Raw genomic sequence first — 23,441 nt, forward strand, 5'->3', positions numbered from 1 at the left:
TACCAAAGACATAATCCCATTCTTTTTTATGGCTGCATAGTATTCTACGGTGTATATGTACCACATTTTCTTTATTCAAGCTGTCCCTGATGGGCATATAGGTTGATTCATTTCTTTGCTATTGTGAATAGTGCTGCAATGAACATTCACATACATGTGTCTTTATGGTAAAATGATTATATTCTCTTGGGTATATACTCAGTAATGGGATTGCTGGGTTGAATGGTAGTTCTACTTTTAGCTCTTTGAGGAATCACCACACAGCTTTCCACAGTGGTTGAACTAATTTACACTCCCACCAACAGTGCCTAAGTGTTTACTTTTCTCTGCAAACTCACTAGCATTTGTTATTTTTTATTTTTTTTAATAATAGCCATGCCAACTGGTGTGAGATGGTATGTAATTGTGGTTTTGATTTGCATTTCTCTAATGATCATTGATGTTGAGCTTTTTTCCATAGGCAATCCTATCCTTCTAGAAATGGGCAAAGATTTCATAAGAAAGATACTAAAAGCAATCACAATAAGAACAAAAACTGACAAGTGGGATCTACTTAAATGTGAGAGCTCTTGCACAGCAAAATACTATCAACAGAGTAAAGACAGCTGACAGAATGGAAGAAAATATTTATAAACTATGCATCTGACAAAGGTCTAATATCCAGCATCTATAAGGAATTTAAATTTACAAGAAACAAACAGCCCTTTTAAAAAGTGGGCAAAGGACATGGACAGATACTGTTCTAAAGAAGATGTATAGGTAGCCAAAAAGCATTTTTTTAAAAGATGATGTTAAATTGTGTTCTCTTCATCATATCTTCTCTATTTGATTTTTAAAAAATTACATTATTTTTCACAGAAACAAAAAATATAAAGCTGTTTTTATTAAACTATAAAAAAGACAGCAGGTTAGATGTATAGCAAAAAACTTATTTTGTTTTGATATTAAAAACAAATTCATAGTACAATACATAATAAGTATTTGCTATGAAGGAAATTAGTGTCAAGCATATTTTGGGATAGGAAAGTTTGGGATAATCATTAATGTTCAAGTAAGCTGTTAAGTACATTTGAAATTTTTGTATTCCAGTAAAAGCAGGTAAAGTGATTGATTGAGATTATGGATTTTGGAGATTAGACCTGGATCCAGTCCTAAAGAATCATTTACTTTCAGCTTACCTTATCTTTAAAATAGGTGTTTACAAAGGGTTATTTAATAGAATTAACATGATAAAGAATATAAAACACTACCTAGTGAGTAGCTATTCCAAAAATAGTAGCTATTATTGTTATGGATTGTGTAAATACATATGTAAAGACAATCAGGGTTTGAAAACAAACAATATTTATTTAATCTCTACTTAATTAGCTCAACTTAATACCAGGAACTATTGAGTGTCAACTTGATTGGATTGAGGGATGCAAAGTATTGTTCCTGGGTGTGTCTGTGAGGGTGTTGCCAGAGGAAATTAACATTTGTCAGTGGAATGGGAGAGGCAGACCCACCCTAAATCTGGGTGGCCACCATCTAATCAGCTGCCAGCAATGGTAGGATAAAAGCAGGCACAGGAAACATGGAAAGACTAGACTGGCTTAGTTTTCCAGCCTACATCTTTCCCCGGTGCTGGATGCTTCCTGTCCTCAAACATCGAACTCCAAATTCTTCAGCTTTGGGACTCTTAAGACTTTCTACCACAGACTGAAGCCTGCACTGTTGACTTCCCTACTTTTGAGGTTTGCGGACTCAGAGTGGCTTCCTTGCTCCTCAGCTTGCAGACAGCCTATTGTGGGACCTCACCTTGTGATCATGTGAGTCAATACTCCTTAATAAATGCCCCTTTATATAGACATCTATCCTATTAGCTCTGTCCCTCTACAGGACCCTGACTAATATATTGTTACATGTTGAGGATGCACAGATGAGCAAGGCCCTGACCTGACTTTAATAAGTGACCTATATTTAATAAAGTGTTTCAGACGCTATGACTGAAGTTCCAAGAGGGCAGAGAATTTAGACCACGCCACCACCACAAAGGAATTTCAACAAATAAAACCATGTGCTTTTTGTGTGGCCTGATGCTTTTCACTAAAAATATACATAAAACCTTCTATTTGGAAGTCATTCATTTTTTTCCACAGTTATATATATTGAGCATCTTCCATTTCCATGCACTTTTCTTGGAGCTGGACATATAGCAACAAGGAAGACAGTATTTCTTCTCTCATGGAGGTTTCAATCTAATAAAAGGAGAAAAATCATCCTGGAAAAGTAAATAATTAAAACAAGTTTAAAAAATAGGCAAGATAAATTCAGTCAGTTATACATACTATAAAGAAAATGAAACCTAGGTGGTACGACTGACCACTTTTAGAGATAAAGGACTACATTGGATAGAGTACAGAGTAAGTCTTCTCTGAAAGAGGTGTACCTGGCTGGCACCCAGATTATAAAACACCAGCCAGGCAGAAAGAAAAAAAAGAAACACATTGGAAAAAGAGAATTCCAGATACAGGGAATAGTTAGTACAAATCACTTCAGGAGGGAACAAACTCAGCCAATTCAGTGAACAGGACTGTTTAACAATATAGAGAAATAAGGAAAAGAGAATAAAGCTATGAAATCAGAGAAGTATTCTCAACTATAAGCCAAATACAAGCACTTCAATGTGGCAGAAAGTTACAGAGAATGATTTCATTTCTATATGCAAGGATTTAACTCAATGTTCTAGAACTCTTGAGGTTATCTACTTTTCCTAATCATCTAAGTAAAATTTTTTATTCAACCAATAAATACTTGTGAACACCTATGCAGAACAAAGACTTGAAGACATTTAACCCATAGGAGAGCTCAGAAATTAGGACCTAATTCTGAGGAAGAGATCACATCTGGTTGGGCAAATCTGAGAAGGTTTTGTGATGAAGTTGGCATTTGAGCTAGGGTAGGTAGGTAAGATTTAGGCATATAAAACATGATGATGTTGAAGGGGCACAAAAAGTCATTCCAGGAAAAAGCATGAAGAAAGTCATAGAAATAAGTGGTTAAGGCAAGAGCATGTTGTTTGAAATTATTACTTTAAAATGGCTTTAAGTTTTAAAATTCAATAGACCATTGTCAAAGCTCAACTTGATCTTGTCACATTATCGTCTCCCACTTTCCTTAGCAAGAAATTATATGTGTGTTAATCACAATTCTGAGAGATACATCACACATCTAAATACACGGAGCAGTCAGGGAGGTGGGACGAGCAGGTCATTCCTCCTAACCTCACGACATAGTCATGCTAAATCTTCTGCTCCTAAGTGCAGCACACTGGGGGAAAGGAAAGGCCAAAAGAGGGAGGGTCATCAACTGCAGAGTTCCACGGGGTTCCAGGTGATTGCAGGTTATAAAGCAGCTTGGTGCCTGTATAGGCTTAGTAAATCAAGAAGTGATGTTAAGATAATGGAAACAGCCTGCTTTGTATAAATTTGTTTACTCTGTTCTCAATAGGTAACATAATTTGCATCATATGCTCTATTTATGACACACCTGGATTCAGAAATGAGGTCATTAAGTTATAAACTTCATCTGGTTCTTTTGTGAAAAATAGACATCAACTATTAGCCCACTTATAAAATAACCTGTATAAATTGTACCACCTGTCTCCATGAAGCCTCTTCAAGTGTTCACAAATGTCATTTCAGATGATATTTCAAAGTTATGTATGTGTTTCTTCTGTAATATGTCAAGTTTGCAATGGGTTTTTATTGCAATGTTTCTGGTTGATTAATGTGAGATCAAACAGACCATAAGGACATAAACTGCTGATCCATATGGGTAGGGTGGGACTGGAGATGGCCTTCAGCAGATGAAGCTGAAGACAAAGCACAATTACATTTATAATAAAGTCATGGAGTCTTAGATTTCTACGTAGTAACTTCTTTAGATCTATTTATTTGAACAACTTGCAATCTTCTACCCTCTTGCAGTTGTCAGGCACTTAACATATTTCGAATAATTAATAGGGTTGATGTTTAGGCAAATTGGAAAACAAAAAGATCTTAAGATTTAATCTTTTGGGGTTAGTCATAAAGGGGCAGAATTTTCATGAGCATTAGTTCTTCAGCATTTTATTTAATTCTGTCAGTGATAGAAACATTCTGCCATTTATTGATCCAAGGAATGTTTGCGGAGAATCTGCTCTGTAACAGCCATGGTGCTGGAAGCTAAGGATTCAATGTGGCAAAAACAGGGAGAGTCCCTGAATCAGCTAAACCACTAAACCATAGGAAAGTAACCCACTACAATACAAAGAATGAGGAAACTGCGGTGGATGGAGAAGCACCACACCCGGGCTCTGAGTCTCAGGGATGGCTGCCTGAAAAAACTACCATATAGGCTGAGACATAGGTAAGCTGTAGAAAAGTGATGGACAAGGAAAAGTCCCACATGTGCAGAACCTAGCTCTTTTCAGGAAAGCTGTGCTGGAGTATCAGGATCAGGGTCCCTGATAACCAATCTAAATCAGGTCATTCACTAATACTATTTAAATGTATCCTCTACTTTTATTTTTTTAAACAAAAACTTAATAAGTGTGATTCTATATTTATGTGATTTTAAAAAAATTCTATCTCCTCATGTCCTGCTTTGTTCACCCCACTTTTTGGCACATAGTAGGCACTCAGTGTTTGTTGAACCAATGAAAGGGCAAATACCTGAGAGGTGAGAGAGGGAATAGAAGAACAGGCTCTAGAGAGTTAGCCAGGGGATAAATCAAGCAGGTTTTTTTGGCCACACTGGGGAGTCTTACCTTCATCCTAAGAGTAGCAGGAGATAGAGAAATGTTTAAAGCCGTGGTTGCATTTTAGAAAAATCATTTTGCTTACAATGTAAGGAACAGACTGGAAAAGAGTAGAGGTAAATCTATCAGTTACCTGAGAAAACAGTGATTATGTCATTGGGGATGGACTTGAGAGACAGGAAAAGAAATTGATAAAGCTTTGTGACTGGTTAAATAAGAAAGAGGGAGAATAATGTTTTCCAAGATGACCCATAGCTTTCTGCACTGGGAAGCTAGATGAATCACCAAGAAAAGCAATGTTTTGTCTTTGATTTTGGTAATGAAGGGAGAAATGACAGATTCCATTTTGAGCATAAGTTTAATATGCCCACGGGTCATATGAGAGATGGCAAGGTGGAAGGTGGATGTAAACCTCTGAAGTTCATGAGCGAAATCTTGGTTAGAGATGGAGATTTATGAGCTACTAGAATATAGATAATAATTAAAGTTTTCACTGATGCAGCTGAAAGGACTTCTGGAGAACTTGCTTCTCTTGTCAAATTCTTAAAGGTCTCTCTTTTAGGCTGATTTTAACTAATTTATAAGCTGAGAAATAAGTCACAAAAGATGGTTTATAACTTTGGGGAAAAGGACATGGCCAGTTTTTCAAACATTGTGAAGGCCAGTATCATGGGAGAGCCACAAAGTGACAGTTGGACTCCATAGGTCTTTACATCTCAGTTCAAAGTGCATTTTCAGCTCCTAGCTGGGTAATGAATTTTTGTCACTAGTCTTCTTCGGATAAGAGACATACATAGCGGACACTGTTATCCGAAAATACTAAATTCATCTGGCCCCGCTAGTGTTTACATATACCATTGTCCCCCACCTCACATTTAAATTGTCTTTCTGATGCACGCACCTTCACCATAGAATCTTATTTGATACTTTGACACCGCCCTTTCATTTTTAGTTTTGCTATGACCTGTGTAGCAGAGGAGGACCACATGTGCCTTGGATGTGTTTTGATTGTTTTGTTATGGCAACAACGTCTTAAAAAAGTTTTAATGGCATTACACTTCATTACTATACAAGCACCTTAGCATTAATTGTCTTTCATCCTATTTAATTTTGGTATTTATGTTAAATGCATGCCCTCTGCTTATATTTGGTTTGTGCCCCTTACCCTGTACCATTAAGATCAAGGACAAAAGCACATACAAGTTATCAAAGTGGAAAAGAGGAGGAAAAAAGTAAACTAATGTGTGTAATGGACATTGAAAGGAGGAGTATTTTATTAAAACCTTCCTGAAGAGGTTTAAAAACTAACTAAAATGGTTTCCCATTTTGCCAGATAGACCTGGCAAAGGTAACTACATAATCAAAGGTGAAACATGAGTGAATATTTTCAAGGATGTGTAGGCAGTACAGTGTTAAGTATATAATGTTTGCAGGCAATAATGAAGGACTCCAAATGCCATGGTAAGGGTTTTGACATATCTTAGGCAGCAGACAGTCAGGAAAGTGACACCACAGAAAAGTATAATCAGACTTTTATTTTAGAAAGTACATCTTGGCAGTAATCATGGATTTGAAGGAAATAAGGCCAAAAAAACTAGGTCATTTTTTATGGCATTCACATCTAAATAAATTCAGAATCCACCATACTACAGAAATCTTGATGTCTGAAATTTTGAACCATAACCTCTTGCTCTTTCAAGTCTCCCAGTAAATTCAACCCTCGTTATTTTTAGGGCCAAAAGCCTTTCAACCATTTTTTTCCCCCAAGCTTATTTTTCTTTTCTATCCCTATGAAGCCTAAAACACATAGATCAACATTTCAACTGTACACTCAGTGACATCTCAGATTCTTTTTTCCCCTAAGTCTAACCTTTTTGCCAATTCTTAGTTCAAGGTACACTCAACGAAATGTACTAGTACCTTGGTTCTAAATAATCTTTACAAAAAGCATGCATTTAGATTGGTTGTCTTTATGATAAGCCCTCAATGTTATCTTTCAATCCTTTCATTCACCTCTGTTTTATCTCCCTATCTTTTATTCACCTCTGTTTATCTCCCCATCTTTGTAGGTTCTAGTTCCCTACTCCTGGAAATTATAAACATTTCCCAGGAGGTTTGTTAAAAGTTTTACAACCCAATCCGGATGTAGATAAATAGATCCTGACCTCATAAAACCTATCTTCCGGTTCACACTCACTCTACTGCATCTAGTTAATCTTCCAAGCAATGATTCTGGTGCATCAGAAATTTATTATCCTTAATTCATCTTAAAAATGCAGATTCTTGAAATGCACCCCAGGCCTAATGAGTCAAATTATCTGAAAGTGGAGCTCAGAAATTTCCAATTCTAAGAAACCTCCTGTGTGATTCCTGGGTACACCAAAGTTGCAAACTACAGCTTTAAAAACTGTGTGGAATGAGAAGCAAGAGAAAACAATGAATTGTAGGAGCCCAAGGGGCAAATAATATCCTGCTCTCATTTCCTTCCAGTCATAGCATGAAACCAAGCCACTTCACAGCAAAACTAAAGAAAGCCTTTCAAAGTGTTTAGTGTGTGGACATGAGAACTATATATAAGAAAAGTTGATATGAGTCATAACTCAGTGTAATTGCATCCTGTTATCAACAAATATAGGTGATGTTATAGACATTTAAGTTTAGGGGCATAGCATAAAAAACTAAGGAAAGTAGACTATTGACACATAGTCACTTTTTAGCTCCTTGGTCTTCTTGAGGTTTTTGTGTAAGTTAGAAACTTGATTGAAATAATAAATCCATTTGCTAGAAAATAAATCTTAAAATTTTGATTTGTATTGTGAACTCCAAATATCTGAGACAGCTCCCAGTCAACGGAGAAAGTTTATTTTGCCAAGGTTAAGGACATGTGCCTGTGACAAAGACTCTGGAGGTCCTGATAACATATGCTCAAGGTGGTTGGGACACAGCTTGGTTTTATACATTTTAGGAAGACATGAGAGATCAAACAATATATGAAAGATGAACACTGGTTCAGTCCAAAATGGTGGGACAACTGGAAGCAAAGGTGAGACAACTTGAACTAGGGAGGGGACTTTCAGATCATAGGAAGATAAGAGACAACCAGCTGCACACTTTTGAGTTTCTAATTAGCCTTTCCAAAGGAGGCAATCAGATATGCACTTCCCTCAGTGAGCAGAGGGATTACTTGGAATAGAATGTGAGGCAGGTTTGCCCTAAGCAGTTCCCAGCTTGACTTTTCCCTTTGGCTCAGTGAGTTGGGGGTCCCAAGATTTATTTTCCTTTTACATTTCTCCCCTTGTCTTTTTAAGACTCTTTCGGAGAAAGTATTTTAGAAGAAAATGAATCTCTGGTCTCAGGTTTCATCTAATCTTTAATGGCTAGGATGGTTTGTTCCTAGACAGGTAGGTCCCATATTATTAGGGAAGCTCATTTTTAGCAGGTTGTGAAGTCTCACGTCCTAGGAAGAGAAAATAAGAAGAGGTAGGGAGAAAAAACAACAATAAAAAACCAACAATCATGAAAAACTGATATAGGCCATATTACTCTGATGTCCATACATCACCAGTCAGGTATGAAAGTAGCTTATATATGTAAATAGGTTGCTGTTATTTCTTCTGAAGTTTAAGTTGTCTAGCTTCAGTTTGCAGGGCTTCAAGAAAACACAGCTTAGTGTTCAGTGATTCAAAATTAGGAAAAATGGGGAGAAAGAAAGAAGAAAAAAATTGAAAACATTATTTTGGAGACTTATAGCCAAGAAAAATTAGAATTCACTCTGAACTGTTGAAAATGATAAAAAATTATAAAAACATTAGGTGAGAATAGAATCTAACAACAGGTAGACTATAGTTTTTGAAACAATTTTTCTCTCTCCAGTTTCTCATTTTTCCTAAAGACAGATCATGGTAGGACCAATTTGCTTTATAATACTTGGCCTGATTATTTGTATAAAGTGCAGCAGGAATAATCATTTTTCACATGGGCTTTTTAATTGGCTTTGATGAAACTTTGTTACATAGAAGAAATCTCAGACAAGACTTATTTTGTGGATTTGTACCATCAAATACCTGTGAGCTAGGTAAATTCCTCTCCTCTTAAGGTCCCATGATAACTTGGGGCTCCCAGGCCTGTCAGAAAGTGACAGTCTTTACTTACCACAGGTCAGGAACCCTGTACAGGGACTGTGTAGACAAGGTATGAGGGTAGTTTTCCCAAGGGGTTTTTCTTGTCTCTGTAAGTCAAGTTTATTTCCAGTCAAGTTTGTTGACCATCCCAGCCAAAGCCTTGGTAAGGTAACCAGTTTCTCCAACGGTTTCCTGTTGCAAAAAAAGACATTTTTATTGCACTTATGCAAATAACTATATTCCCATTAAGTTAAGAATACTCACAAATAGTTTCAAAATTCTGGAGAAATCAGGTAGAGAGAAATAAATATGCTCCAAATATTGTTGCTACAAGCTGTCAACAGCTCAAAAGAAAAGTTTTCTTGACTCTGCAAAACAAAGCAAATGATCAGCAACAATTTAAGTAAAAAAGTCAAAAGACTACTTCAGTCTTCCATTAGTTCAGTTCATGCAGTTAACTCCTGTTCTGCTTGATATTCATGAACATTTCAGCTCTCCATGAGAGTCCAGAAAGGTTTTCTTCTATTCTAATGTCAAAATTTCCAAAGTTATCAGAACACTGCATTCAAGAACACCTCTTAGGGTTTTATAGCAGATTATAAAATCACCTTCTAAAGAGAACCAAAACAAAACAACAGTTGTCAGTGAATGACAAAAAGTTTTAGGGCAGCCACAGTCAAGGACACAACTGACAAGGAAATTTGTTACCTCTGTGGCACACAATAATTTAACATAGCAATTATTATTATTACTGATGGTGTACACTAAGTCATATCAGAATTAAAGGATTTTCCCATAACTTGGGAACATATACCAATAATCTATTTATACAAATACAGCCCAAAGAAAGCCAAACACCATTTCATATTTAAAATTCTTCCTGTATGATTTTTATACCAAATAATCCTAATATATAATTTTTGGACTTTATGGAACCTAATATCTTAAAGAGATATGTCTTTAAAAAGACATAATTTATCATTTGATTTTGGAAAGTTTCTCAAATATTAAAGGTTTAAAATGCTTGATGCTTGATATTATCACAAAGTAAGATCACAGGTCATTGTAAAACAAGTTCCTCATTTTGCCAAAGTGATAACTCAAAGATTTGAAAAAAAAAGGCAAAAACCTTTATTCTTTGAGAGAGTAGATTTAATTTTCCAAACACTAAGCCCTAATAAAAACAGCATGAGGCCAATTAAATGTTTTTCAAAATTTTATAAACAATCTATAAAATTTTAATCATTTTGACCATAAGATGTAATTTCTATAAACCTTTTATAACCTTTATAATCCTTATTAAAGAGAGGATTAATGCTTCAAGAAAACCTTGTTAATCTGACATAGGGGCCCATATGCTGGTGTTGCATCAGTGTGTTTTTGACATTAATGGTTAATTTATAGAGAAACTAAACTTATCTCTCATAATTGGTCCTTAAAATTTCATGTGCCCATCCCTTTTGTGAGAGTCCCTGGGACTTGAGGAGTTGAATAGCTTTAATTTCTGGTCCTGTGTCTCACACAGTTTATTTTTATTGGCATCATTTACCAAGTCTGAAGATAAAGCTTTAACTGCTGTCAATGTTAAGATTTAGCAGGACTTGGTGTCCTTTTTAGACCCAGGAGTCAAAGCCCTGTATCTTAATGGTACAAGGACTTTAAAAGCACATACAAAAAGTTACATGAATGTAATAACTTTAATTAACATTTTTTAATCTGTTCTTTTCTAAGCCCATCAAACTTAGTATTAATGACATAGAAATTATTTCAATAAAGCGTATGTGTTTATTAGGCCAGTTACCCAAAGGCAAAGAAGAGACCTTCTGCAGTGCGACTGCTATTCTCTAAGAGGAATATTATGTTGGAAGGAAACATTTCCTTTAGACTTTCAAGATAAAACTTTTTTTTTTCTTTGATAGCATCAAAACAGTTAGAACCTGAAGGAAACAAAAAAACACTTACCAGAGCTGAAAATGAGTTGAAGTATAGAGTTATTGTTTCAGCCCTTTTAAAAGGGGAGAGAAAGCTAAAAACAGCAAGAAACAATAAAAGTTGAACTTATTGTAAAAAAAATTATAATGTCTTATAATTTATTAAGAATAAAGCAATACCTTAAGAAAATTTTGTAGTTTGAACCAATTCTTTAGTGTATAAGGTTTTTAAATCAAAACTAAATCTCTAGAAATATTATAATTTCCCTTTAATTATAGACAACTTGATCATATAAAAGTTTTTTTCATAAATCTTCTCATTAAGACTCACACAGACCATTCATGACCTGCCTGGACTTCCTTGTTTGTGTTGAAGATCCCTCTTTCTTCCACAAACAATCATTTTATTCTAGGGTAAAATTTAGCATACAAGATTATTTCTCATATAAAATTAATTTTCTTTAAGCTTTCTTACCAAAAAAATACCTCTTTATTTCTATAACTTTCTTTATATCTCTTATTTCCTGGTTCCTTTTACCTTGTTTTATACATAACCTTTAAGTAATCTTTGAATTTAACAAAAATTATTCAACTTTTAAAAATGGACACACTTTTTTTTAGAAAAAGAATGTTTTCCTACAATATGTTATTGGAAAATACCCAATTAATGAAATATCAATTATTTAATTTAACTTTAGATTATAAATTATGGCAAGTTTGTCTACAGTTATCTTTCCAATTACATTTACTTATTGTATTTTAATAGTTTACTTATTTATGAAAACTGAGATAGTCATCATTTAAAGTTATGACACCACCATTGTAAAATTATAACAGATACAGTGAAAGAGATCTCACCTAACTGACTCCATCTTGCTTCCAACCTCTAAGCTGTCCTTGTTCATTCCTGGGTGTAGGCCAAACTAACTTTGGGAGGAACTAGTTTATAGTTAGCTTTGAAACAAAGATGATAACAGTTCTTTCCCAAAACAAACCCCCTACCTGCCTGGGGGCTAAACTGCCTAAAGCCATGAGATTAGAAATTATGGTCCAGGACTCATGCAGCTGGAGACTTCAAGACTCCAAATCTTCTCAAATTGCTCATAGAGATAAAATCACTATTGTAAAATGTAGTATTTGGCAGAGATAAGTATGAAATCACTTTATCAATAAATGCAAATAAAATGTATGCTGGCAATTTTTAAGACACTTCTAATATTACTTCACAAATAATTTTCAAGCTAGCTTATTTATTAAAGATTTCAATTCAGTCATACAAGCTTGAAAAAGCATTTGACTAGTCTTTTCTCTGTTCCCGATAAAGTATTTAAGTACTTTTTCTTAAGCCAATTAATTAGAGCTTTTTAATATATTTTCAGTAGTGAAGCATTGTGCACACAATACATAGATACATAGATGTATTAGACATGGTGATAGAAGAACATCTTAAAGATTCATAAGACCTTTTTTTATTGTAGACTTTCAAATTCTTGATAACCTGTTTCATTACCCTAGGCAATTGACAGCTAAATAACCCTGAATTTGTATATTGAAGGAGGCAACTCTCAGGTGAAAAATCAGATAGGAAAATTTACATATCAAACTACAGGAAGAAAAATGTGCTAGAGGGAAATTAGAACTGATTTAATTGCCAGTTAAACATAAAGTTAAGTAAATCAGCCAGGCGCAGTGGCTCATGCCTATAATCACAGCACTTTGGGATGCTGAGGCAGGTGGATCATCTGAGGTCAGCAGTTCAAGACAAGTCTGGCCAGCATGGTGAAACCTTATCTCCACTAAAAATACAAAAATTAGCTGGGCAGTAGTGGTGCAAGCCTGTAATACCAGCTACTCAGGAGGCTGAGATGGGAGAATTGCTTGAGCCTGGGAGGCAGAGGTTGTGGTGAGCCGAGACCATGCCACTGCACTCCAGTCTGGGCAACAGAGTGAGACCCTGTCTTAAAAAAATATAAAGTCATTTTAAAGATATATATACACACACACACTCACACAGAAAGATCTTATGACTTTTATTTCAGAAATCTAGCCATGAGATATTAATACAAATTTATCAGCTTGCAAGAAAAAAAAAAAAAAGTTGGGTCCCAATAGTAATTTTTATCTCAGTAGCAAAGTAACAGCAGCTTTAAAGTAGGCAGAAAAGAAAATAGAGAAAAAGAGAGCTTAGGAACTCTACAGTGTACAGGTTGACTTCAGTGCTCTTTTTTCTTGAAGTAAATGTGCACAAAGACCTTAATATTTCCATTTTACACTGACTCTAGCAAGTAGAGGTGCCATAAAACTAATGGAATGGTGAAAAGGGGTCATTCTCATTATCATTCTTAGATCATTTGTTTCCCACTTTTTCTTTCTTTCTTTTCTTAAGAGAAAGAACTGAGCTGTGGCCTAGGGCTTTTGTGAAGTGCATTGAAGTGTGCTGGTGTTACTAGTTGAAGGTGTCCAGGTTCTTGGCATCTTGAACAAGGAAGTGGACAAAATGCACAAACAAAGCAAGGAAAGCATAAAGCAAGGAAAGCATGAAGCAAAAACAGCAGAGATTTCTTGAACAAGGAACTGGACAAAAAGTACAAACAAAGCAAGGAAAGCATGAAGCAACAACAGCAGAGATTTACTGAAAACAAAGAGGCTGGGCGCAGTGGCTCACGACTGTAATCCCAGCACTTTGGGAGTCTCAGGCGGGCGGATCACGAGGTCAGGAGATTGAGACCATGGTGAAACCCCATCTCTACTAAAAATACAAAAAATTAGCCAGGCGTGGCGGCAGGCGCCTGTAGTCCCAGCTACTCAGGAGGTTGAGGCAGGAGAATGCTGTGAACCTGGGAGGCAGAGCTTGCAGTCAGTGAGCCGAGATTGTGCCACTGCACTCCAGCCTGGGTGACAGAGCGAGACTCTGTCTCAAAAAAAAAAAAAAAAAAGAAAAGAAAAAAAAAAGTACATTCCACAGGGTGGGAGCAGGCCTAAGCACAGGGGCTCAAGAGACCCATTACAGAATTTTCTGGGGTTTAAATGTCCTCTAGAATTTTCCATTGTTTACTTGTTGTACAACCTATGTAAATGAAGAGGATGAAGTAAAATTACAAAGTCATTTACTTGGTGTATGCCCTATGTAAATGAAGAAGGTATTTCCTGTCTTAGCTGAAGGGTTTCCATGTAAATCAAAACTGTTTCCATTTAAATCAGTTTTAGGAAGTCATTGTGAATTGACCTTATGTTCTCTGCCTCCAGACCCTAATCTCCTGCCTCTTTTTCCCCCTGAGAGATGTGATCCCCATAAATCTTTATGGAAGATGGAAAAACTGATGGTCTTCCTTCTGTAACAGCTTCATGCTGGCTTGGGGTATAGTACCTACCTATTGGGGATCATGAAACTCTTGCCCTGCCCTGTCTAGTGGAGTCAGGGTAGTTCCTTGATGGCCACAGGTGGTGACTTCACCCGGAACTGGCTGGAACACTTGTTGCATGATCATCTGAAGCTTGATGGTCTCTAGGTGAGAGGAATTGAATTTGGTTAAAAAATTTAATGGAGACTTAAGGGAGTGGATACCTATGCTGTCAGGAATGTTTGTTATAGAGATTTGCAGGAGAAAAGCAAAATCTAGTCTGTGGTCTGTTCTAGGATCTATGTCTTTCCTTAAAGTCTTAGCATGAACAACTCCATTTTGGTTTAGGTTTGGTGTGTTGGGGCCTAGCGCATGATCTCAGCCCAAAACAATGACCTCTCATAATTGTTTTAAAAAATTTCCCCTTTTTGGTCACGTTCTCACTTAGGTGAGAGTGTGACCAAAACTTAGGGCCTCTGGTCTCAGCATGTCATTCATAGATTATAGCGTCCTCATGGTCACACATTTCTTTCAGCTCTTGTCATTCTAGTTAAAGAGAGACCATTTGACATTCTAGAGGCCATTGTATGCAAACATTTAAAATCTTTGAGAGAATACAGTGCACCAGTGAGACTATTATTATGATTATCACTAGGATAATACCAAGAGTTTGGAGTATGCTTCTTACCCAGGGTCTCTATAAACCAAACCTCCTAAAATCAAATAGATCAAAGAATGAGCTAAATAAAGAGTCTACTCACTTAACTAAGCAGTGGCTTCATTAATCCGTTTTCTGGGGTTTAAATACCCTTTAGAGTTTTCCATTCATTATTTGTTGTACAATCTATGTAAATGAAGAGAATAAAATAAAGTTACAAAGTCATTTACTTTGTACACTATGACTGAATCTCTGTAATATCTAATGTTTTCTCCATACGCCATGAGTACCAGCAGCTGCACAGATACCTCTCTGTTCAGACAATTCTATCATAACCTTCACAAGAGAATTTAAAACCTGTTGTGTAACTGTAGCTTTTACAGTAGAATCTTCTATAAAGCCTATCACAAAGGATAGATTTCTAATCATTGCTTCTTTTATTCCAAACTATGGAAAAAGGACCTAACAAATGATGCCCTTCTAGAAGAGTGAAGGCCTCTTGGCAATGTGCTCTTTAACCCATAATATGAGTTTAGAGGAGTGAACCAATGTTCTGTTTCTGATTGATTATAATATATAAGGTTATCCATATATAGGCTGGCTGAAAACTCCTTCACAAATAAAAGTCTACCCCATAAGCCCACATAACAGACACGTTTTTCCACTTCTATTGTTCATAGAGGCATAAGCAAGGAAAAAAAATTCAAAGATAAGTCTCTTAATAGTAGAGAAGTCTTGACCCATGATCTTGGGAAAAGCTGTTCAGATCAAGGATGCCATCTTTTCTGGGGAGTAACTTTCCTGATTAGCTTTACCTTAAGGGTTTCAGGGGGTGTACAGTCCCAAGAGTGTGATGGGACACTGCTCAATTGTGAGATTATGAACCCAAGGTTTAAGGTCCTGAAGTTTTGCCGTATTGTGGATATCAAGGACAGTCTTTCTCTGATGTTCTCAGAAGATATAATCTTTGGGTTCTAGATTGTGAAGGGGTTGATTGTCCTCAGTCATAAGAGGCTTCTTTATTTGACAAAAATACATTGTAGCATAATAATTTACTGTTATAACATCAGTCTTTTTTTTTTTTTTTTTTTTTTAGATGAAGTCTCACTCTGTCTCCCAGGCTGGAGTGCAATGGTGCGGTCTTGGCTCACACTGCAACCTCCACCTCCTGGGTTCAAGCAATTCTCCTCCCTCAGCCTCCCCAGTAGCTGGAACTATAGATGTGTGCCAGGAGACCCAGCTAATTTTTTGTATTTTTAGTAGAGATGGGGTTTCACCATGTTAGCCAGGATGGTCTTGATCTCCTGACCTTGTGATCCTCCTGCCTCAGCCTCCCGAAGTGCTAGGATTACAGGCGTGAGCCACCATGCCCAGCCAACATCAGCCTTCTTGCATGGGAAAGCTTTTATACAACAAGAAAACATGCACTGAAAATGTCAATTGAATGAAATCCGTATATAAAATGTTTAAATCATCCATCAGGTGACCAAATGTACCTGAAGCTTTAATTGTTTTCCCAGGAAGATGAGACCAAACATTGGTTATCAACTATTTTAACAAATGATAAGTAACCACAAAAATATATTCAATTTGGATTTTATTTTTTCCATGATGAATCATGGAATGTAGAACTTTTAATAACAAAAGCTTTAAGGACTCAGGAAGGACAAGGTGATCATCCTGGTTCTCCATGAGTCCATGTTTAAATAACATTAGACTTATATCCTCCTGAATACCAGTTGTTTTACCAAGTTAGGTGCATAGCACTGATAACTGATGGATTGTCAAGGTAATTTGACCTAGACCATGGAGTTCAAATTGTATATCTAAACAATTTCCATATCTGCTGGTAAAACATGAAAATCTGATGACATATTTTCTTGGTATTCAATTAATTGTTTGTTCTACTTGGATTAGTAGCTTTATACAAGGAAATTGGTTATTTCTGTAGTTTACAATAACTTAATATAATAACCATAATTATAATTGATAGCATATACTCAGACATATTAGAATTTAAGAAATCCTTATGATTTTGTAACATATATTAATATCATTGACTAAAATATAAAATGAAGATTAAACTTTTTTTTGGACAATGCTTCCCTTATAACATGTCAAGTAATCCTATTTACCTCTCTTTTGGATATTTCAAGAGCCTTCTGCAGCATCTCAAAGTTAGAAGTCAGAAAAGGCTATTTTGAAGATGAAATTTGATTTTGGGAGGCCTATCAAATATGTTAAACGTTTAAAACATTGATATTATGAAATAGAATTCCAGGTTACCATAAGACATTCATTTAGCCAAAATGATGACTCAAAAATTTAAAAGGCAAAAACCTTTACTCATTGATAGGGGAAGAAGACCTAGCTTTCCAAATAATTGGTCTCTTGCCTTTCCTTTTATTTAATTTTTTGGTATTTTATTCAAAAGCCAAACAAAAATATTTCATTATCTTTTAATATTACATGAAAATCTTGTTCAAGAGAGAAAGCCAAATTTTACCCTTGCATTAGTGTACCATTAATGTCAGCTCCAATTTTTAATAACCCTATAGACAAATCTTTCCAATTTTAATCAGTATCATCATAAGGTGAGATTCTCATAAACCTTTTATAAGCCTTTACAAATTTTTGTTAAAGATCAGTGCTTTAAGAAAACCCTGTTTGTGCTTTTATTTCAATGTTCAATTTATGCAGAAACCAGAAAATGACCCTTTAAATTTAGTCAGTATGTTCATACACATAGTGTTTTACAAGATTAATTTTTTTTTACAACCCTTCCACAACTTGTTCAAACCTTTAGCTTTATCCTAACTTAAAACAATCCTTTAACCCTTTAGGCAAAAACAACAACAAAAAAAATCCACATTCCCATGCCTTCTTATAATCTTTTACTAAATCACATTTCACTTTTTTTACATACCTTGCATGTAAAACTGTTTCTTCAGTAGTCTCAATAACAATGTTAACGCTTAGCGACTTTTACTTTTGGCCAAAACCTTGTTAAGTTTGGGACTTGAAGTATGTATTAGTTGTGGAGCCTAGGACTCAGACAGAAGTGCAGATAAGTTCTGACTCTTTCCAGTGTCTACCTCCAAGTGTCCCAGGCTTTACCTAGCTGTAAAGCAGGCATGTTGTACAGTTAAGAGTCATAGTGACATTTTTGAGCATTCAGGAGGCCAAATGACCTTTAAATTGTACATTTCTTGCATAAACTCTCTTTCATAAATTCTTTCACAACTTACATAGACTATCCATGACATGCTTGGACTTTCTGACTTGTCCTAAACATCCCTCTTTTAAACAACCAGTTATTTTACTTTAAGACAAAAATTTACCATACAAGATCCTTTCTTATATAAAGCCTCTTTTTTTTGGTAACCTTCTCTGCATAGCTAGGGGGCATGGCTAATTTCCTATGTCCCCAGGCTTTATTTAAAATCAAATGCTCCAAAATACATTGAACAATTTTTTAAAAGTCAAAGAAGTAGTTTATGACCTTAAAGCATTTAGCAAACCTAATATCTGATCTGCATATTTAAATGAAATGTTTACATTTTTGAAGATTTTTATTTTACCAATAATCTTTAAAACTTTTTTAAAGATTACTTAAGTCACAGGAACTAAATAAAAGGCATTACACTTTTCGGACAAAATATTTGATTGAAGCTCTTATTATTAAACCAATTAATTATAGTTCTTTCATATTACACATATAACACATTTAAATATAGACAGAAGATAAAGGAATTGTTCCCTAAGTCAGAAATTGAACCCTAACCCGGTTACCATTGTAAAAAGAGAAAGCACAGCCACATGGTTACAAGGTCAATCTCCCAAGAATGTGGTGGGCCAGTTTGCTGGGCCATCTTGAACAGAGGGCCGATGAGGTCATAGGCATGCATTTTATTCTAAGATGTCCCTTTTTATAACAGAGCAATATAGAAAGACGTACAAAACACAACATATTCACTACAGTTTAACATTAGCCTCAGAATTTTTTTTAAATTAATCAAAATTATACAGAGGAGATAAACACTAACAGTAACTTTCATTATTTATTTATCCAGTTTGCACAGAGAGAGAGAGGCCAGAGTCTGACTGGTAAGAAATTTTTACCCTTTTGCCAGCATGCCAGGTTTCTGAGTTCTCTCTCCCTGAGCAGCCTTAGCAACCCTGCTAAACTATATGCAAACAAATACATTGCCATGAATTAAGAATATTCACAAATAGTTTACAAATTTTGGAGAAATTAGAGAGAAATATGACTCAAATTATGTTTACAAGAGTATACTCAACACCCTTAAAGTATCAGGAAGCCTAAAATCCAAAAAGTTAGTTTAAGGTTAAAAAGCTGGTGTGTTCCATCAATACCTAGGGGGCCTGATGAAGGTAGCCTAGGAATTCCAGATAAGTGGAACAAATGATGACTTGCTAGAAATGCATAGGAAACAAAATATCTATTAAAGAACCAAATAAAGGCCTTCCACTGGAAACTAAATATATATATATATATATATATACACACATACACACACATACACAGATATAAAACCATATATATATGGTTTTATACAGAAAGTGTCAGGAAGCCTAAAACCATATATATATGGTTTTATATCTGCATACATAGGCAAAGCCAAAGAATAAACAGCAAATGAATGAAAACTGGTAGCCAAAACAAATAGGAAACCGACCCTAAATTTTTCCTACTCAATCTACCCTGGAGGCTATAGTGTTATCCAGGGCCCTTAAAAACCCACATAATGAATATTTTATTCCTAATACACAATTCAATATCCTCAAGTTTACCAATATCATACAATCCTGTGCAATTAAGAAATTCATTTTAGGTACATGACCAATAAGTACTCCAGTGCCGGCACTATCCACGCAAAACAGTAAACATAGTGCAAAGCAACGCAAGCATGTATATGAAATTTGAATTGCTACAAAAAGAATTGCCAAACTGCTGATGCTTTTTTTTTTTAACAATACTTCTTATTTTACTTTAATCAAGACTCAGAGCTTTAACTATGAAAATGTTAATTAGCCAAATGTCTCCAATTCTCTACTGGGTTTTAAAGAGTATTTTATAATCTAAACATTTCCCACATCTTTCTCCCCACCTTCTGGTTTGTTACTACATGGTTTCATAAACAACCTTTTCAAATCGGTAATTTGAACTATTAGGTAACTTTTGAATTAGACAAAATTATTCTTTTCCTCACTAATAACATAACCTTTTCTGACACATTTGATATACAGAATTATGTATTAAGTAGAATTCATTTCCTTAGTAAACTAAAATTTTAGTGCAACCCTAAAAAGCAAGAAATCCTGAACCATCAGATATGGGCATTAATAGATAAGAATAAATCCACAATTTTAGAAACATGGTTCCCCATATCATAACCCTTTAACTGGAAATGATGCAGATATTAAATGAGCATCAAAATGTTTTAAGATTTTAATTTAAATAAAAAGTTTACCTAAAGTGTTATCCCATTCACTGTACTCAATTCTTTTACTTTTATCAGTTTATCTAGATTACTTCCGTAAACTGAGATATTAGACACTATCATTTAAAGTTAGTTACCTCCTTGTTAAACACATTTTTAGTAGTCTGTGAACATCAGGTGCTTACCTAAACCTAAGTAAGACCCTCAAAGTTAAATACATAGGTATTTTTGCCAATAACTCAGAAGATTTAGCTAACAGTAAATTTGTAAACCCTGAAAATGTGAGACAGGTCTCAGTTAATTTAGAAAGTTTATTTTTCCAAGGTTGAAGACGCATGCCCGTGACACAGCCTCAAGAGGCTTGGTTTTATACATTTTAGGGAGACGTGGCATCAGTCAACATATGTAAAATGGGACAGCTGGAACTGGGAAGGGGGCTTCCAAGTCACAGGTACTTGAGAGACAAATAGCTGCATTCTTTTGAGCTTCTCATTAGCCTTAGGAGATGGTGCAGGAAGAAGGTAATTTTTCCCTGAAGCCCAGCCATCTCTGGCCAGGCTCCCCTCCAAAACTGCACCATCTGAAGTTAGCCATCCTTATCCATAGTCTCCAATGTTCAGTTACCTCTCTGCTCACTGCTCAGTCACTTTTATCCCCGACATTCAGCAGTTTGTATCCCTGAGGCTCAGCTGCTTGTGTTGCTGTAGCTTTCTTCTGCCAGCTGGGCTGGTTTTTATGGGCACAGGATAGGGGGCAGGGTGGGTCAAAAAGGCAATCATTTGGAAAAATGGGGTCAGTTGCTTTCACTTAAGGCCTAGGTCCCAGGCTTGAGCGTGGAGTGTAGCCAGGAGCCCAGCCCTTCTGTATCAGGGTCAGCTGTTTTCACTTAGGGCTGAGGTTCCAGGTTTGAGGGTGGAGTTTGGCAAGGAGCCCTGCCTTCTGTATCAATGGAGGGAGGAAAACTTGCCTTCCTTGTTGGAAACAAGTAAAACTCAAAAAACAAACAAACAAAAAAGAGTTGTACAGCAAAATAAACATTAGATCTCAACCAAATTTTGGGAGAATAGGGATTCTCTGGAGGGGGTGCTTCCAGGCCTCGGCAAATTGTCCTGTTGGTTTGAGCCATAAGGTTAGCTCAAGATGGTACCAGGCACCCATAGATTTTTCAAAGGTCAGGGGCATCTCCACTCAGAATCTCTTCATAGTTACCAAATGAACCCTGAATATCTGAGACAGGTCCCAGTCAATTCAGAAAGTTTATTTTGCCATGGTTAAGGATGCATGCCTGTGCCACAGCCTCAGGAGGTCCTGACAACATGTGCCCAAGGTGGCTGGGGCACAGCTTGGTTTTATACATTTTAAGGAAACATGAGACATCAATCAGTAGTCGAAAAGGCAAGGCAACTGGAATCAAAGGCAGGACAACTCAAAGTAGGGAGGGGACTTCCAGGTCATAGGTAGATAAGAGACAAAGGGCTGCATTCTTTTGAGTTTCTAATTAGCCTTTTCAAAGGAGGCAATCAGATATGCATTTATCTCAGTGAGCAGAGGGCTAACTTTGAATAGAATGTGAGGCAGGTTTGCCCTAAGCAGTTGCCAGCTTGACTTTTCCCTTTAGCTCAGTGATTTTGGGGTTCCAAGGTTTATTTTCCTTTCACACTATCTTGCATATTAAGAGGTCCTTTCTTATTCTCACTCTTCCTCCAAAAAATAACCCCAAAAGCTAATACATAAACATTAAATACTCTATAAAGTACTCACGTTTTAAATATTTAACCCAGTTAGACCATAACAGCAGGGCAGGAACTGCATATTCTGTCTTATTTGCATTATAAAACTAGCACTTGGCACAGTACCTAGCATATAAGTGATTAAAATGTTTGCTGATCAAATGAAAGTCATATCTATCACTTGTTAAAATTCTCCAAATAAGAACTTAAAAAAAAAATTCACTTATATTTACAATTGCAGTGGTGTGGAAAATAATAGGAGCAGTAGCAGCAAAAACAACAATCTAGTAGTTTTAAACCTGAAAACAGAAAACTCACAAATTTCTTTATGGCATTTATTCTGGATAGAAAAAAGTATAGACATTCTAATTATCCATTGTAGATGTGAAAAGTTATGTTTCTGACTACCACTTTAGACACCTGAAAGCCCAAATTAGTTGCTAGCTAGGTGGATATCTGTTTCTCTCCCTCTATATGAGTATATAGAGAGATATATTGGCTACATTTTATATGTTTTAATAATATAGTCACTATATATCTAGCTAATCTATTTATATATGGCTATGTATTAGCTATGTTATAGGCATATATCCAGTTCTATATCTATCTATATGGCTATATTAGAATTGGAAATACTGTTTAAAGAAATCCATGTGATTGTATGAACAATAGATTTAAATATGAGAGTTTCTAAGCTTTAAACTTGTTTTTGTTAATTTATTTCTTTGCTGTTCTACCTCCTACTATTATTTATTTAGAAAATGATGACAAACAAGTGGAATATCACATATGTTAGCACAGTGATAAGAATCTTTCACAATAGATAACAGCTGTGGTTGGGAGACTGGCCCAACTTTAGTTTCTGAATATATCACTTAATAGCTGTATGTATGACCTGGTGTGGGTCAATGTCCACTCAGAAGAGACTGCTCCTATGCATGAAGTTGTTAATTAGGTCAGAACAAACAGTGATTCATTGACATTGAGGACCTTAGGGGAGGGTTCCTGCGGGAGTGGGACCTGGCTCTCTGAGGAGAGGAGCTTGATAAAGCTGATTCTGCAAGTGTTGGAAAACCACAAACTACATTCTTATGCAATTACAAAAAGGACTTCTGCTGCTTCAGTGGGGAACTATGCCCAGCTAATATATGCCCAGTGGGAGCACGACCAGATAAGAAGAATACAGGAAACCCACGGGAAGCAGCCTGGAAAGTCTCCTGTCTTCCACCTCCTGCCTTGCAGTCACCCTCTTGCATCCCCTCTTGGCAGAGCCTAGCATAGATCCAGCTAGAAAAGCAGAAATGTGGCTTTCCAGCCTTAGAATTTCAAAGCCAGCTGAGGAGAGAAAGGTATTTTGAAGCTGGGATATAGGTTAATAATTAGTGCAGGTAGCATAGTGACAAGAAGTATATTGC

The 23,441-nt window shown here is 36.0% G+C and overlaps 1 long non-coding RNA gene across 1 annotated transcript, besides 2 other annotated features; it reads right to left on the reverse strand.

Moving 5' to 3' along the window:
* Positions 1,188 to 1,689: an enhancer, noted in NCBI's record as "NANOG hESC enhancer chr4:115462958-115463459 (GRCh37/hg19 assembly coordinates)". NCBI's record gives its function as "activates a minimal SCP1, AML or CMV promoter by ChIP-STARR-seq in naive H9 embryonic stem cells {active_cell/tissue: H9 hESC(naive)}" and the evidence as "EXISTENCE:reporter gene assay evidence [ECO:0000049][PMID:30033119]".
* LOC105377380 (uncharacterized) lies at positions 6,297 to 18,112 on the reverse strand. The gene is made up of 6 exons (XR_939093.3): positions 17,758 to 18,112; positions 14,935 to 15,017; positions 14,204 to 14,337; positions 10,864 to 10,927; positions 8,933 to 9,269; positions 6,297 to 8,445 (listed from the first exon to the last, which is right to left on the reverse strand). It is a non-coding gene; the product is annotated as an uncharacterized LOC105377380 (long non-coding RNA).
* Positions 21,357 to 22,200: an enhancer, noted in NCBI's record as "OCT4-NANOG-H3K27ac hESC enhancer chr4:115483127-115483970 (GRCh37/hg19 assembly coordinates)". NCBI's record gives its function as "activates a minimal SCP1, AML or CMV promoter by ChIP-STARR-seq in naive and primed H9 embryonic stem cells {active_cell/tissue: H9 hESC(naive and primed)}" and the evidence as "EXISTENCE:reporter gene assay evidence [ECO:0000049][PMID:30033119]".

This window comes from Homo sapiens, chromosome 4, assembly GCF_000001405.40.
Source record: "Homo sapiens chromosome 4, GRCh38.p14 Primary Assembly".
NCBI classification, from domain to species: Eukaryota; Metazoa; Chordata; class Mammalia; order Primates; family Hominidae; genus Homo; species Homo sapiens.